The 18,573-nt window shown below is 34.4% G+C and overlaps 1 pseudogene; it reads left to right on the top strand.

Annotated features, from left to right (window-relative positions):
* Positions 2,123-2,765, top strand: RPL18P3 (ribosomal protein L18 pseudogene 3; annotated as a pseudogene).

The raw sequence follows: 18,573 nt of genomic DNA on the forward strand, positions 1-18,573 counted from the left end.
AGAGTTATTTGAATTATACCACCATATATTTCATTCAGATGACACTATATTGTGATCGTCTGCCAAATGTTCTCAGGAATGCTTACGCTTTCTAATACGTCCTTTTCTGGGCAACTGTCTTCTAATATCTGGGTTTTTCCGAAAGTAACAATTATCCTCTGCTTTTCTGAAGGCATTACATGGGGGCAAGGGAGGTGAGGAAAAGCAGGTGGAGCAACAGATTTTCACTCAGAAATTCTTTCTCTCCAGGGACTTTTTGAGCCTACTGGCAGAAGAAACCACTCTCTTCGCACTTGGAATGGTATTAATGTTTCTTCTTGCCTATTTTAATCTATCTTTCACACTACTAGACAACAAGATTCCAGAATTTTAAAATCTTAAAGAATTCAATCTTTTCCTACAACTATAGGTGAAAATTTTAATTTTGTATTGTAGAATCCTCAAATCTTAATAAGCTAAGCGAGTTTTAAATGAGTCAATATACATTCTGTTATATTCAGCTTTTACTATTTCTCGTTATTCTTCAGTTTTTAAGTTTGGACATCAAATTTTAACTCCAGAGTAATTAATGATTAATGAAATATTCAAATTTATTTTAAATGAAATCATAACTGAATGGGGAAAGGTGCTGTAATTTTTTGTGAATATAACCGCATATTTACTTGACTCTTCTAAAACATCTAAATTCATCACGGCTTTTTTCTACCTATTCCACCCCTTGAAAACCTCCAAAGTATCTATATTCTTTATCCCAATATTTAACTACTACACATTTCTATAATGTCATATTCTGTAATGTGAATACATAATACATAATTACATTATCAGTACTGCTGCTAAGTAAATCACTAGCTAGAGAAGGATGTATTATTTATACCACATAACACTTAGAATTCTACTATAGAATAAACTAGAATACAGAGCAGGTATAGGTGCTATTACATGAGTTCTCACTGCTACATAGTTTTGATAATTAATTTTAACGTCAATTATATGAGGTAGGCATTATTGTAGCCAATGTACAGATGTAGAATCTGAAGCTTGAAGTGGTCACATAACTTTCTGAAGATGATTCAGCCAGTCACTGAGAAGGATATAAATCAAATGCACTTTTCTTTAATCACAGCCTGTGACTTTTCTACTACACAATACCGTATCTACACCTTTACCAAATAAGTACTTGTTTCTACACATTCCCTTTATTTGTTCCACGTGTGGATTTTTAAAACTTTACCTTAATTTTATGCTCATTAAAGAAAAATAATATATCATATTACTTTTATATTCTGTACCTTATGAAGAATCAGTATGGTTTCTGGCCATGGCAAAATGGAAGAAGGGCCTCACATTAAGTCATAATATACTCCAAAATGTCAAAATGAAGTTTGCATGTTACAATTTATATATCCAAGAGTGAAAAATGCTGACAATCCCATACATAGTAGGGCATCACATATGGCAGAGGATGACATATAACTGGCAACCATAAATAATTTGTATTAGTTTTAAGACAATGTAAAAATTATAAATTCTTGATCTATATAGAAAGTAAAAACTAAAGTTAATTCACTCTGTGAGAAAAATTTGTCACAAATCTTCAAGGCAGGATGTGTCTTTTGCCCTGCCCCAACTTTTATGGTAGAAATCACTTTAGAAATCTATTTTAAATCTGTTCTATTTAAATGGATTTTGTAAAGTTATATCATATGGAGTGACGCAAATTCCATTTAGATAGCGAACTCTCTTTCAAAACATAGGCAATAAACTATTCTACAGAAGATGCAGGGTTTTATAATTTTTTTAAAAAATGTAAATTTGTTCAATTATATATAAAGCAACTGTGGATTACCAAAACATGGAATGTCATAAAACTTACAAAATAAGTTCTTACAAAATAAAGGACTATTGACACTTACAAGTTGCATTCAAAAAATGTTGGGGGAGAAAAACTCTCAGTTGTTATGCTACTTTAATGAAAGCTAGTATTTTATCAACTGTGATTTTTTAAAAATATATTTATTGTAAGTTATGGCGGGGGGAAGACTCAAAAAAGCTGTGGAACTAGGAAAGGTTTTTAAAAAGAGAGGTTTTTCCCTTAAGTTGTTAGAAATGGAAAACTAAGCTTTATGGACCTGCCCCAGCGTAGGCGCCATCATGGGAGTCCACATCCACCACAACAAGGACCAAAGGTTCAGCGCAAGGAGCCCAAGAGCCAGGATATCTACCTGAGGCTGTTGGTCAAGCTGTACAGGTTTCTGGCCAGATTAACCAACTCCACATTCAACCAGGTTGTGCTGAAGAGGTTGTTTATGAGTCGCACCAAACAGCCACCTCTGTCCCTTTGCCAGATGATCCGGATGATGAAGCTTCTCGGCCGGGAAAACAAAACGGCTGTGGTTGTGGGGACCACAATGGATGATGTGCGGGTTCAGGAGGTGCCCAAACTGAAGGTGTGTGTGCTGCGCGTGACCAGCTGGCCAGACCGCAGCAGCATCCTCAGGGTCGGGGCAAGATCCTCACTTTTGACCAGCTGGCCCTGGACTCCTGCAAGGGCTGCAGCACCGTTATGCTCTCCGATCTTCACAAGGGTCCAGAGGTGTACTGGCATTTCAGCAAGGCCCCGGGAACCCGGCACAGCCACACCAAACCCTACGTTTGCTCCAAGGTCCGAAAGTTTGAGTGCAGTGGAGGCCTACGGGCCAGCCGAAGATATGAAAACAAACCCTGGATCCTACACTTTATTAAAATGATTTTGGATACTGACAAAAAAAAAAGAAATTAAGAAATGGGAAACTATGGCTCCTCCTTTAGTGAAATTGAGAGGTGAAGCAGGCTGGGCTTCTGGGTGGGGTAGGGACTTGGGGAACTTTTCTGTCTAGCTAAAGGATTGTAAATGCACCAATCAGCGCTCTGTGTCTAGCTAAAGGTTTGTAAACGTACCAATCAGCACTCTGTAAAAATGCACCAATCAGTGTTCTGTGTCCAGCTAAAGGTTTGTAAAAACACCAATCAGCACTCTGTAAAAACGGACCAATCAACACTCTGTAAAATGGACCAATCAGCAGGATGTGGGTGAGGCCAAATAAGGGAATAAAAGCTGGCCACCCCAACCAGCAGCAGCAACCCACTTGGGTCCCCTTCCATGCTGTGGCAGCTTTGTTCTTTTGCTCTTTGCAATAAATCTTGCTGCTACTCACTCTTTGGGTTCACACTACCTTTATGAGTTGTAACACTTAACGCAAAGTCTGCAGCTTCACTCCTGAAGTCAGAGAGACCACAAACCCGCCCGCAGGCACGAACAACTCCCGACGCGCCATCTTTAAGAGCTGTAACACTCACTGCGAAGGTCTCTGGCTTCACTCCTGAAGTCAGAGACACCGTGAACCCACCAGGAGGAACGAACAACTGTGGACGCGGCACCTTTAAGAGCTGTAACACTGACCGCGAAGGTCTGCAGCTTCACTCTTGAAGTCAGCAAGACCACGAGTCCATCAGAAGGAAGAAACAACTCCGGACGCGCCACCTTTAAGAGCTGTAACACGCACTGTGAAGGTCTGGGCTTCACTCCTGAAGTCAAGCGAGACCACGAACCCACCAGAACGAAGAAACTCTGGACATATCTGAATATCGGAAGGAACAAACTATAGACACACCATCTTTAAGAACTGTAACACTCACCACGAGGGTGCGCGGCTTCATTCTTGAAGTCAGCGAGAGCAGGAACGCACCAGAAGGAACAAATTCTGGGCACAAAATCAAAGCCTGCTAAAAGATGCCTGGAAAGGATTTTAAAAGGTTTCTTTTCCCAAAGCTTATGCAGGGCATAACAAGGATTTTCACAATTTAAAAAGAAGACTAAATTAGCGCCAAGAGAAAAATTAAGAAAGTTTCATTTGTCAATTATGTGCATGTGCACATGCAGTGTGACATTAAATTCCATTCCAATTAGTTTATTTTATAAAGAGGGTAACTTAGTGTTGCTAATTGTGTATGGTCACCTTTTGACCTCAAGACAAATTTGGCAAAAGAAGAGGAAGACCTATGCATTGCAAACTACAAAACGTCGCTGAGAGAAATTGAAGAGAACGTAGACAAATAGATACACTGTGCTCCTAGTTCAGACAACTGAATAGTGTTAAGATGTCAATTCTTCCAAAATTGATCTATACAGTTAATGCAATCCCAATCAAACTCCCAGCTTTTTAGTAGAAATTGATAAGCTGACTCTAAATTCTATACAAAAATGAAAGGATCTAAACATTTGAAGACAATATTGATAAAAAAGTTGGTGGATTTATACTACCTGATTATAAGAATTATTTTAAAACAACAATCAAGTATGGTACTGGCATCAAGACAGCTAATAAAAATAGAAAATGGAGTCTAAAATAAACTGACAAATCTATAGTCAACTGATTTCTAAAACACACAAAAACAATTTAATATAAAAAATCATTTCAAAAAATGTTACTGGAACAATTCAATATCCATACTAAAACCAAATGTTATGTCCCATGGTATAAAATAATTAACCCAAAATGATCATAGACCTAAATGTAAAAAGTAAAACTGTAAAATTTCTTGAAGAAAGCATAGGTGAAAACCTTTAAGACTTTGGATTAGGTAAAAATTTCTTGGTTATGACAGCAAAAAGCATGATTCACTTTTTAAAATGATAGCACTTCATCAAAATTAAGAATATCTTCTCTTTGAAAAACATTATTAAGAAAATGAAAATAAAGGCCAACCTGGGAAAATACAGTCACAAATAACTGTCTGAAAAAGTACTTGTATTAAGAATACATTTTTTTAAAACTCAAAATATAAGCACAAACAAACCTATTAAAAATAGGCAAAATATTTGAATAGACACTTCACCAAAGTAGATACAGTAACCACATAAAAAGGTTTTTAATATCATTAGTCATTAGTTACATAGAAATTAAAACCACAATAAGGTATCACTACACACCTTTCAGAATGGCCACAATTATCAAGACAGCAGACCAAGTGTTGGTGAGAATGTAGAGCAACTGAAGCTTTCAAACACTGCTTCTTGGAAATGTAAAATGCTGCAATCACTTTGGGAAAAAAAATTAGCTTTTTTATTTTAAAGTTAAACATATACCTGGCTTATGTCCCATATATTTTACTCGTAGATGTATATACCTAAACATAAATCAAAGAATATCTTCATACAAAGGATTTTATATGAATGTTCATATGGTCCTTACATGCTGTTGCTCAAAACTGGAAATAACCCAAATGTCCAAAAACAGCTGACTCAATAAATGGATTATGGCATATTCATAAAAGGGAATACTATTCAGCTATAAATGTAATGAACTAAGGATGCATGTAGCAACATAGAGGACTCTCAAAATAATAATGCTGAGTGAAAAAGGCAGACAAAAGATGGTACATACTGTAGGATTCAATTTATATAAATTTATGGAAAATATAAAGTAATCTATAATGGCAAAAAGCTGTTCAGTGATTATCTTGGGTAAGCTGAATGGGATGATGTGATTACAAAGAAGGACAATGAGACTTTGCCATAATAGATATGTTCATTATCTTGATTATAGTGATGGCTTCATCAGCATATAACTAGGTCAAACATATCGAATTGCATACTTTAAATATGGGCAGTTTGTCATATATCAATTATACTTCAATTAAGTTGTAAAAATAGTTATAAAAGCAAAAGGTATGTCTGCACTGTTTTATATATATTCATTTTAATTTAAAATGTGTGGAATTGGCCACTTGTCTGACTTTTCTCTCTACTAAATAAAAATAAATACTATTTACTCATACTTTTCTATTTCTGCTGTTCATCTGGTGTCAAAGTTCACATGAAAAGAGAAATGGTAAATTATATATTACGGAATACAGGAAATCTTCAAGTATTATGCTCTCCAATTATACCATAATTACAAGACGATAAGGGTAGGAATTTTAACTATCTCAATGTCTGTGCCCGTTTGTTCTCTTAGCTTTCTCTCCCTTAGTAGAAAAAATGATGCAAGAACTTTAAGCAAACCTGTCACTCCTATGAAATTCAAATTCTAATCCAAAAATTTCTTTAAAGTGGCCCCTTAAAATGCTTCAGGCCACATATATAAACAAAGTATAGCTGGAACTTGCGAAAAGTAGCATAGAATGTCTAGTCCACAAGACTCTTAAATTCGAAAAATGTACATGAGCTAGGTAATAAAAACTTTTCACTTCCTAAATATCACGACTTAAGATTTCTTCTTTCCTGAAAATACTAAGTACATTTTATTTATATATTTCTAAAGGGAAAGCTAGAACACCAGACAGGTAAATTAAAGCATGTTATAATCATCTACTTATGTATTTGCAAAAGCATCAAATCTGTTATAAAATAAATCAATTCCCCTTAGGAAATTTATTTAAAAGATGAGAATCACTTTTTAAGAAAGCATATGCTGTATTGATTTACATTGTTAATATATTTAACTCTACAACTATAGATATTATGTATTAGTCAAGACACACATGAATTTTCATTTTAACAATAAAATCTCCCTAAGGCAATAGAATTCAGAAATAAAGACAGTTACAGAAAGCCCATTCTTCTCCTTTCCATTGGCTAAATTCCTCTTCTCCTCAAATCAGCCATCCCTTGAAATAAGAAAAGCAAGAGAAATTTATAAACTGAGAGTGGCATGATAGAAGATAAACAGTAGGGAAACATATAACTACCAGAGCAGCATATCGTGACCTTTTCCACATCATAGCACATATAGGAAAATATAATATTTGTAGGGCACACTGCAGTAAGCTGAGAATGATTACGGCTAGAGGGAATTCTATCAATTCTAGCCTCCTAAGGCCCAATCAGACCATGTGAAGGGCCACAGGAAGCAAAATCTCAGACATATCCATCACTCATTTGTAGTATACCCACTGTGTGCTCTGACACTGGGAATAGTTAAGCTAGAGGATTTTTATGTTCATCTACAACATGGAAAATTGGAAAAAGGAATACTGAATTTTCTATATCTTACACCTTAGAATAAGCAGGTTGGTTTTCCCCAGGATTCCCTAATACTTGTGATCCATATGGGAGCATTACTTCCAGACCTCATATTTATAAATAATTATATTCCTGAAAAGGTACTGTGTTGAAAATGTTATAATTTAAGTGCATTTTTTCCCAGTACACATATTTTACCAGAGACGTTAATGTATTGAGACCAAGTTCAAGACCACTAATAATTCAGTATGCTACAACAACCATTTAATTCACTTATTTTATATAAAAGAACTACTAACCCCATATATCTTTGTTTAAAGTGGTTATAAACAAATAGACAAGACCATATGTAACTAATACCATGAAATCATATATAACATGTATGTGCCTCTATAATTCCTCGGTCTTAATATCAGAAATTGGATAAACCTGCTTTGGGAAGAAAAGAATTAATACTGGCCAGATTTACCCTTTTGCCCAAAACAACCAAAGAAAGAAAAATATATCTTAAGCAATGGTTTTCAAGACACATCAGTGATTCCCAGATAAATAGGAAAAAAAAATAGTCCCCAAGATTTTCTCAGTTTGCTGCCTGGAGAGCATATCCTGATCATAGGACAAGGAAGAAGAACCCCAGGCAGAGCCCAGTAATTTCCCTCAGATGAGCAGATGGATCTGGAAGTCTGAAGAGACCAAGGTGGCCAAAATTCATTAGGTGGAGTACCAAAAAGGATAGAGTTATGAAGATAAAGTACTCTAGAAATCTACAGAAGATCATCACATGCATATGAGGAAGCTACCTAATATCTAAGAAAGAACCACCTGAAAGTCTTAAGGGAACAAATCCCTTAGCCAGTGTGAAAAAACTCATAATTCAGATATATCAAGTGAAGGACTCAGAACTGGTTTAAAATCAGCCCCACAGAAAACTTTGTCCCGGCCTCACTTAACAAAACGTAAAAGCAAGTCCCCAAATGAACAAAATGTTTCCAAGTAACTTAACTGCATCATATAACAAAGCCCAAATATATTTATAGAAATACAAACATATCCAGCACCTAAGAAAATAAAATCTACAAAGTCTGGCATCCAGTAAAAAATTACTAGCCGTGAAAAAAAGCAATAAAATATGAACCATAATGAGAAGAAAAACCAAGCAGGCAAAATCAGCCCAATTTACAAACTGAATGTCATCAAAACTAAAAACTTCTGCTCTTCAAAAACACACCACTGCAAGAATGAAAAACAAGATACAGACTGGGAAAAACATTTGTAACTTACATATCTGATGAAGGATTTTTATCTAAAATGCATAAAAAACTCTCAAAGCACAATAACACAAGCAAATTAAAAATGGGCAAAATATTTAAGCGCATACCAAAGTAGACAATCACAAAATCCATATGACAATAACCCCACTATCATTAATAATTAGAGAAATGCAAATTGAAACTACAATAAGATATCAGTATGTACCTATTAGGATGAAACTCTCAAACTGTGAAATGAACAATGGTACAATGGCTTTAAAATGTTTTGGCAGTTTCTGAAAAAGTGAAACATACACTTAAGATATGATCCAGCCATTCTACTTCAGGGCATTTACCCAGGAGAAATAAGGCAACTGTCCACACCAAGACTTATACATGAATGTTTAAGCAACTGTACTTATAATTGCCAGAAACTAGAAATAATCCAAATGCCCATTTGGACAAATAAATTCTGATATAAACATACAATGAAATACTGCTTCTTTGTAAAAGGGGATTGATTATTGGGCACATAACAAAGTGGATGAATTTCAAAATTATTATGGTGAGGGAAGGTAGCCAAACAAAAAGCACATACCCTGTAATTTCATTTACATAAAATTCTGGCAAATGCTGACTAATCTATAGTGACAGAAAACAGATCAATTGTTGTCTGGGATAAGAAAAAACAGAAATGGATTAAAACAAGTCATTATGAAAGGTCAAAAGAAAATTCTGGGGTGTGATGTGTTCAGTATTTTGATTATGGAGATGGTTTTACAGGTATATAAATATGTCAAAGCTTATCAAATTGTACATTTTATGTAACTGCTGTTACAGTATGTCAATTAAACCTCAATACAGCTCTTAAGATTTTTAAAATCAAACAAAAGAAACATTTATTTTGGGATTTGAATATTATTGTATTAGGAATTTTACTAGAATAAAAACCTTTGTGTTTTCCATACCTTGACTAACTTCTTCCCAGGGTGAAGAAGTGATTTGTTTGATTGGTGAACTTCAGAGAAGAAAATTGTTCTGGTGGCTCAGCTCCTTCTGGATTCCCTCTTCCCGGATCTGCCTCCCACAGAGAGTATTCACTCTGGTCTTCCCTATGGCGTGCAGCAACAAACCTGGACTCTTAAAAAAATACATAAATAGCTCATATTATTTGCAATGAAATTTGCCCTTATTTATTTAACAAATATTTTCAAGTACTCATTATGTATCATACATCGTTCCAAGCTTGAGAGATAGTACAGAGATTGTATTCTACCTTCATGAATACATTCTAACTGCAAGTGATTGACTGAATTATTGGACCCAGTACTTCAGCATTTCTTATTTCTACCTAATTTTCCTTCCTTTATTTAGAAAAAGAAACAGTAATGAATATGTTGCATACCATCATTTCTTAGTTCCTCTGACTACAGCCCTCCGTTTGTACTCTTCCCTTGGTCTATGTCAGTGTTAATAAAAGAGCTGGTCTCAAACTTCATTGTGAAACCAATTAACCTAATTGTCTTGTTAAAACACAATTAATGGAACCTATACCTAGAATATTTGATTCAATAGATCTGGAGTGGAATGCAAGAATTTGCATTTTTAACAAGTTTCCAGGTGACACTAATGCTGCTGATCATGGAACACACGTTGAGAGCCGCTGTGTTAGAGGCAAGTCTACAGGTGCTCCTAGGAATTTAAGGCGAAGTTGAAGCTTATGAAAGAAAGACTTAGACTGCTGTCAGAGCTGGCCCTACTCCTCCAGACTGTCTCCTATTGGAGCACTTTTCTAAAAATACCTTGATAACTCATGGTTTTTATTTTCCTAAAAGGAGGTTAGTTCTTTAAATGTTTACTACCTACAAAGGTCATTATTGCTGACTCCAATGTTTTTTTTTTTTGGATTTTTCGTGCCTTCTTTAATATATGTTAAATTCTGATACATAAATGGTTGTTTCTAAATTATTCTATTCCACTGGTCTGTTAGTTCTTGATCCCAAACCTGCTAAAATCACATGTTAATTCTGTTTTTGTTTTGTTTTGTTTTGTTTTTATTATTATTATACTTTAAGTTTTAGAGTACATGTGCACAATGTGCAGGTTAGTTACATATGTATACATGTGCCATGCTGGTGTGCTGCACCCATTAACTCATCATTTAGCATTAGGTATATCTCCTAAAGCTATCCCTCCCCCCTCCCCCCACCCCACAACAGTCCCCATGCTCATGGGTAGGAAGAATCAATATCATGAAAACGGCCATACTGCCCAAGGTAATTTATATATTCAATGCCATCCCCATCAAGCTACCAATGACTTTCTTCACAGAATTGGAAAAAACTACTTTAAAGTTCATATGGAACCAAAAAAGAGCCCGCATTGCCAAGTCAATCCTAAGCCAAAGGAACAAAGCTGGAGGCATCATGCTACCTGACTTCAAACTATACTCCAACGTATTTTTTCTACATCTCTCTTGACAATTTTCAGCTTAGACAATTTCCACCCTCCCTTCTATTCATTATTAACCAATTATTGTTACTATGTCATCTGCAAGGTGAGAGATCTTATTGGTGTAGATGGTGATAAGATAATATAGAACCAGACTGAGTTATAAAGATTTTCAGAAAGTGCACCAGGAATGAAGCTCATTTGGGTGTACCTCCAGCTTGGAAAGTAAATGATTGTGGTGTGAGATATTGATTTATTACCCTAGAACCAAATCATCCTAACTTGGGTACTGTCTGTATCTATAAATAAGAGTTTTGTTTGGGTATCTAATATCTGAGTGAGATCTGTTTAAGATTAAGAAAGGAGAAGAAGGGTCAGCACTTGACTGAGTGTATGCAGACTTAGAGAGAAGAGGGTACCTTGCTGTCTCTCACCACAGACCCAGGCTAATGTGTCAAATATTGCAGTAAGAGGAGCCAAAGACAGTAGCTGCTAAGTTGGTTGAACTGTGATGTAATTGTAGACTTTCCTATTTGAATTTATAAACTACAAGTCTGTGGCATACCTTCTTCTTTTAATCCACAGGTATCCACCTGGCTCCTCCAGTCCAAGTTGAGAAAGTTTAGTGTTGTTCTTAAGCATCTGGCCATAATTTGCCATAATTCTTCCCTGTGTTCTGAAATTTGCCCTGTGCATTGAATTTTGATTCTTCTTGAATCATCTGGGTTTCCCTTAAAATGGATCTCTTATTTCTCATTATCAACTCTTTTTCTCTGGCAAGTAGACAAAATGTAGCAACCATGGATGACTGGCTGACCCGTGTCACTGTAGCAGAGTTCAACTTTAGTAATCAATAATATATTTTATCAGAGCTTCTTGCATGAATTAAGATGACAAGCCTATCACTTTCAAAATTGCTATATCATACATTTATCATCATTATTAAATGAAACAATAGTATTTCAAATAATACTAAGTTTCAAATACTAAGTTTCAATACTAAGTTTTCAATACTAAGTTTCAAATAATACTAAATTTCAAATACTAAGTTTCAAATACTAAGTTTCAAATACTAAGTTTTAATATTTAAATTCTTGTGTGTGTGTGTGTATGCGCAGAAATCTGTTAATACTAAACTTTAAGTAGCTAAAAATGCTTTTTAAAATTCAAAACAATGTGTCATTACTCAATTCACTAAAAAGAGAAATTGTGTCTCAGGAAGGAATAAAGGTAAAAATGAACAAAAGAAATCTTGTTTCAGGAAGAAATAAAGATAAAACAAAAATGTGAAATACAATCTAACTATTCCAAGCTAAGAAATAAGGGAAAGAAGCATTTTAAACTAAATATAATCCTCTCTCTCTTTCCCTCTCTCTCTATATCTCTAGAGAGATATATATATAGATATACATACATATTTTATATATGTATATAAAATATATATATATACAAAAAACAAGTATTTGAAACCATCAAGTTTAAATTTATTTTCATATACTTTATAAACTAAAAATTAAAATTACTAATGCTATAAAAGCATTTTCTTAATGAAAACTAATATTAACATTACAAATTATAATTTTTTTACATTCTAAAAATTCAACCTAACATGTTCACCTTGCCTAAGTTTTCTAATGAAAGGTAGGTAGGGATTATTGAACAGTGATCCAACAACAAAAATTATAGTTATAGAAAACTTATTTCTGTGTACTAATATATCTTTATCTGATGTCTAGGGAAATCTACTAGAGTAGTAAATAATGATTAGCCATTTGAATTACCATTGGAATTACCCAATTACTTTCTTATTACTAATAATTTGCCAATAAAAATTTGTGAAATACAACTCTCCGATACATAAGCATGTTACATAACTGACAATAGCAAATGTCTAGAACAGACCTGTGTTCATCTGCTAAAATGGATGCTGGCTTCCTAGCAAGCTATTAACACTTAGCCAACACTATACCTCTGCCAGAGTCAGTGCTAGGACCTGAAGAAGAGTTAATCTAAGAACCAGCTGGAACAATCAGGGACTTTGTGACTTCTTACAGTATATTCTAGAGGTAAAAAATACGGTAAAGGCTAGAGGTAAAAAGCTTCCTAGACTCAAGAAATTTAATTTATTGGACACCACAGTGTTGTTATGATGAGAGTGTATAGTCTAAATCAAGGTTTGAAAAATCAGTTTTTTAGGTTGGAGGTGAATTTTATGTTTGTTGTTTTTCCCCTTCCTGGACTGCCACTTCTGCAGCCCATTCTCTTGGCATGCTAAGTTTTGTCCTTTTTTAGGTCCATGTTCACTAAGTGGGCAATGCATGGGGGTCTTCCTTACTGTTATAGTTGTAGTGGGATTTCCATATAGTTTCCATAAGTTTTCTGTACTGAAGCTAAAGAAGACCATTAAAAGTCACTGGGGTAAAAGTTTTTCAGGCAAAATTAATGCTTGAACAGGGACTTGATAATTAGCCTCAAACTCTACTAAATAGACTTCTTGTAGCCTTACCAAAGTTAGTAATGACTAAACGTAGATTTCTCATTTGTAATTTTTCTAAATATACTGTACATTCATCATATTCATGAAGGCATCCTCATATCCAGCCACATAAAGCTGACACAAAACAAAAGAATGAAAAATTTGTACATTGCCAAAATAGGTGTCAAATTCAGTAAGTACTAATACCAAAATATTTTATTATTAATTACTCAAAACATACTTATTTTTGTATAAACAAGGTAGAAATAATCATAATTCCTTAGTCATCTTATCCTTCTATAAAGCATGCTATATAAAGAGGGTGGCTTAAACAATATGTACTTCTCACAGTTCTGGAGGCTGGGAAGCCCCACCATCTGGGAGCAAGCCAATTTGGTGTATGGTGACATCAGAAGTAAAGTGTGAGTGCAAGAAGCAATGGTATACAGAAAATTGATGCTGAAAGATATATTAATATAAACATTAATAGCATAGACAAGAGTTAAAATATTTACTACTGGACATAAAATATAGAATTAAAATTGAAGACATAAAATTTCTACTTGCGATATTATAAAAATGCAAAGTAAACTCACAGTAAGCATAAGGAAGGGATAAAACTTAATAAAAAATAATGAGTTGGAAAATAAAAATAAATTAGAGGATTGATGAAGTAAAGTTACAGTATGTTGAAAAGACTAATAGTGGATAAATATTTTGCATATTTGATTCCAAAAAATAAATATAAAAGTAGAAAATAAAGATTCATAAGAGATTAACAAGATAATAAAAGAATATTGTGAGATATTCCATGTCAATTATTTGAAAATGAAGTGCTATAGTTTGAATATTTATCCCCTCAAAACTTATATCAAAGATGAGTTGGTTGAACATTAGAAAATTCATTAATATAGTTTATTTTACTTATACATTAAAGAAGAAAAAAAATTCTCTATTTTTAAATACTGAATATAGAATCTGATCACATTTTAAATTAAAATTTTTAATAAATTATAAATTTAAGGGAATTACTTTAATTAAGACTACGAGTAAAAGTTCTTAAGGCATTGTAATACACAATGGTGGAAAGTTAGAAGCATTTTATTAAACTAAGTCTAGAACAAGTTTATTTGTTTTTACTACTTTTGCTCAATATTGTACCTGAAGTCCTAATCTACATAAAAAAGTAATAAAAGCAAATTAAACATATAAGGATTAAAATGAAAAATTATTCTTATTTGAAGATGATACAACATCTTATATACCAGACAAAAGATAATTCACAGATAAATTATTAAATATGTATAAGGGAGGTAAGCAGTTACCTAATATGAATTTTTAAAATTTTCTATATACCTTCAAGAAACAGCTAGAAAATAAGTTTATAAATATCATTTGTAATAAGAATAAAAATGTAAAGCACATAGGAAGAATTGAAGATATGTAAGCTCTTTAAGGAGAAAATGAAGGAAGTTTATAATACAATATAAGAAAGACCTAATAGCAAGGTTCCAGTTTGTTGGGTGGCCGTAAACAATGGAAATTTACTCTTTCACAGTCCTGGAGATAGAAGTCCAAAATTAGGGCATCAGTGGGGAAATGTTCTCTCTGAGACTCTAGGTCTAATATTTCTTGCCTCTTTCTAGCTTCTGGTGGTGGCTGTCAAACTTTGGCACTCATCCATCTGCAGTTGCATCACACCATTCTCTGCCTCTTTTGTCACATGACATTCTCTCTGTCTCTTCTCACAAAGCTGCCAGTCAGATTGGATTAAGGATCCACCTTACTTCAGTATGAACTGATCTTAACTAATTACACCTGCAACAACCAACAGCCCAGTTTCCAAATCAGGTCACATCCTGGGGCGCTAGAGGTTAGTATTTCAACATACCATTTCGGAGGACACAATTTAACCCATAACAGTGTGCTCTCTAACACTCCAAAATTCATGTCCTTCTGATATGCAAATTACACTTATCCCATGCCAACATCGCTGGAAACTGTAGCTCATTCCAACACAACTGTAAGTCCAAAATTTCATCTAAATATTATCAATTCAAAGAGTCCTAAATATCATCATCTGAAACATTAGATACAAGGGCTCTTTCCTGGATAATCACATCCCTATTCCTGGCTTCTGCTGAGAGGGTTGATTGAATTCGCGAGTTACATGCCAATCATTTTAGTAAATGGTTGCCCAGTCACACCCTTGGCTCTGTTGCCAGAGCACACTATCTGAAGAGGCTAATCATTTTCCAAATTATCAACTGCTGGTTTCCTCTGACTTGACTTAAATCATTTCCTAATTTATTCTCACATTTTCCTAAAACAAAAACAAGAAACCATGTTGCATCTTCCATACTTTGCTCAGCTAAATATCCAAGTGCATTACCTACAAGTTCTACTATCCACCTAACAGAAGAACATAATTCAGCCAAGTCCTCTGCTACTTTATAACAAGAATCACTTTTCTTCCATTGTCCAATAACATGTCCCTCATTTCCATTTGAAACTTGACCACAAACACCTTTAACTTTCATATTTTTCATAACATGTGGCTTGTGATGATCTGTTTTTTTTTCTATTTTTTCTACTTTTAAAACTGTTTTTAATGTTTTTATTTCAATAGGTTTTGGGGGAACAGGTAGTATTTGGTTACATGAATAAGTCCTTTAGTGGTGATTTCTGAGATTTTGGTGCACCCAACACCTGAACAGTGTACCCTGTACCCAATATGCAGTCTTTTGTGCCTCCCCACCCCCCACCCTTTCCCCCGAGTCCCCGAAGTCCAATGTATATCATTCTTATGCCTTTGCGGATGTACGTATTCTTTAAAATCATAGAAGCTTTCTTTACCGCTTTCCTCACTTCTTTCTGAGCACTCACAGGATTCACTTGTAATGTCCACATTCCTACCAACAATTTCTTCAGGGCAATCTAGGGTTTTTACTACCAAATGCCTCAAAATGCTTCCAAGATCCTACCAATTACTTACTTCAAAGCCACTTTTATATTTTAGTTATCGTTACATCAGTCCCTGTCATTCCAGTGCCAGCATCTTTATTAATTTCCTAACACTGCAGTGACAAAGTACCGTAAACTGGGTGCCTTAAAACAACAGAAATTTATTTTCTTGCCATTCTGGAAACGAGCACTTTGAAATCAAGGTGTCAGCAGAGGCATTCTACCTCTGAAACTCTAAAGAGAATGTTTACTTGTCTCTTTTGCTAAGTGGAAGCCCCAGTTCTTGTGTTCCCTACCTTGCAGCTGAGTTACTACAATCTCTGCTTCTGTCGGCAGATGGCATTCTCCATGTGCGTTTCCGTATCCATATTTCCTGCTATTTACTAGGCGCTTACCCATCTCAGACTCAGAATCCAAATGTTTTAAGAAAGGGATTCTTAATTTAGCCTCTCAGCCTGTGCACAAAATTTGAAAGAAATCTATGTTGACTATTAAAAGCTGATCAGGTAAAGACCACCAGAAACAAATCTATAGTCTGACAAGATCAGATTTATTGGCTCAATGCAGCAAGGGATAGCAGTCCAGAGGAATTAGGAATGCTACTTGACAAGAGGAAGGAGGGTGTCCTTTTGTAAGGCTTTGGTTCATTCTGAATAACCTGGGAGTTAACCCAAGAGAGAGAACCCAAGAGAAGTAGGAATCAGTATGAAATGTTTGTTATTTCTGAGAAAAGATCAGGATACATGAGATAAGCTAAGGATTGAGTATTAGAATGTGGTAGGGGCCAGCTTAGCAACTGAGTATCCCCAGTAATAGATGGGTATAGAAAAACGAATTTGGTGGCATCATTGATAATAAAGCAATAATCACTCAAAGAGGGGATTGTTTTGGCATTCTCCAGCTGCAATATAACTTGCCTAGGGGAAAAATAATGTTTCCTGTTAACTTTGCAGCTGACTTAGTATCTGTGTCTGTTCTCCCAGACTGATTAATTGCAGGGCTGCTTTTTTCTTTTTCAGTCTAAGTTGATTTTTCTCTCTTTCAGTCTGGAAACATTTTTACTCTTTCATGACCAAAATTCAACATGGTATGGATTGTTGTCCACCATCCTAAATTTTGTCCAAAGATCACTGCATTTGTCAGTTCCTTCATAGATAATGCTTCTTTAGAGTTGTTTTCAAAGAAGAGTTCTGTTTTATCTCTTCTGACTTTTGTTGTTTTCTTTGGTTGGTTTTGGGGAGGAGAGTTAAGAAATATTATACTCCCCCATACTTCACTCAATGAAGAAATTATTTTAAACGAGTACAAGTTTATCAAATGTAATCTTAGTAAACATTTATTCACTACAGGGTGACTTTGATAGAATGCCACATGATATGATCAGTCAACAACTAAGGTTAAAAATAAAACAAAACCCTAAACTGCGTAATGGAACACTTAGTTATTTTGTCAACATATGTGTGTAATTTTTGATTGACATATTAGATTATGTCTCTATACAAATAACACCGGTTTGGAAAATAATTTAATCAATTAATCAGTTATTTTCATGTAATCTGTGTTTTCCAAGAATAGGTAAATGTTAGTGTACTATTCCCTTGCCTAAGAAGATCCCCCTCACTCAAAAAGAAAATTTTAAACAGTGAATATCAAAAGTTATCAGTTATAGGGCAATCTCAAGGAGATCCATGCAGATTATTTTAAAGATGTTTGTGGATCACAAAAGCATAAGATGGAATTTGATTTTATAAAGCATAGTTTAAAGACCATGCAACCTAATACTTCAACATAAATGCTAGAAAAACAGCAATGTAATTGAAAAGGGATCTTTAAAATTAATGGAAATTATGTTTACTAAAAAAATTATTTTAATGCAGATAAAGAAAACCCACATGTCCTTAAACATGTAATGAAATTGCTAGCTGTAAAACACTTCCCTTCATTTATACCTGTGAACTTCATTGTCCAGTACATTCATAAAACAAATATTTTTCAAAATTTAATACAAACTTCTTTGAATTGGCATCGTGTTTCTGGGAAATGCTGTGGTTGTAACATTTTTTTTTCACAAAAGCAATTACTGTGAGTACATTTTACAAGTAACAAATAGAAAAAGGTATATAGTCACAACGTGGTTTAAATGTTTATTTACACAAAATTAAAATAGCAGTAATAACAAGCAAATCAATCCTGTAAATTAAACGAAGGCCAGCCCAGGAAGATACTTAGTGGGGGGAAAACATACACTCTTAAAAATGGAAGCCTCCCTCCACCAAAAAAAAAAAAAAAAAAAAAAAAAAAAGAAGAAGAAGAAGAAGCCCATCTTTTAAAAAGAGTTGAGCTAAACATAGAAAAGAGAAGGCATGACCAATAAAAGGGTGGGTTAAAAGAGGAATTATGGAAAGAAATTATATTTTTTTAAACTG

The sequence above is a fragment of the Homo sapiens genome, chromosome 5 (genome assembly GCF_000001405.40).
Source record: "Homo sapiens chromosome 5, GRCh38.p14 Primary Assembly".
Lineage (NCBI taxonomy): Eukaryota > Metazoa > Chordata > Mammalia > Primates > Hominidae > Homo > Homo sapiens.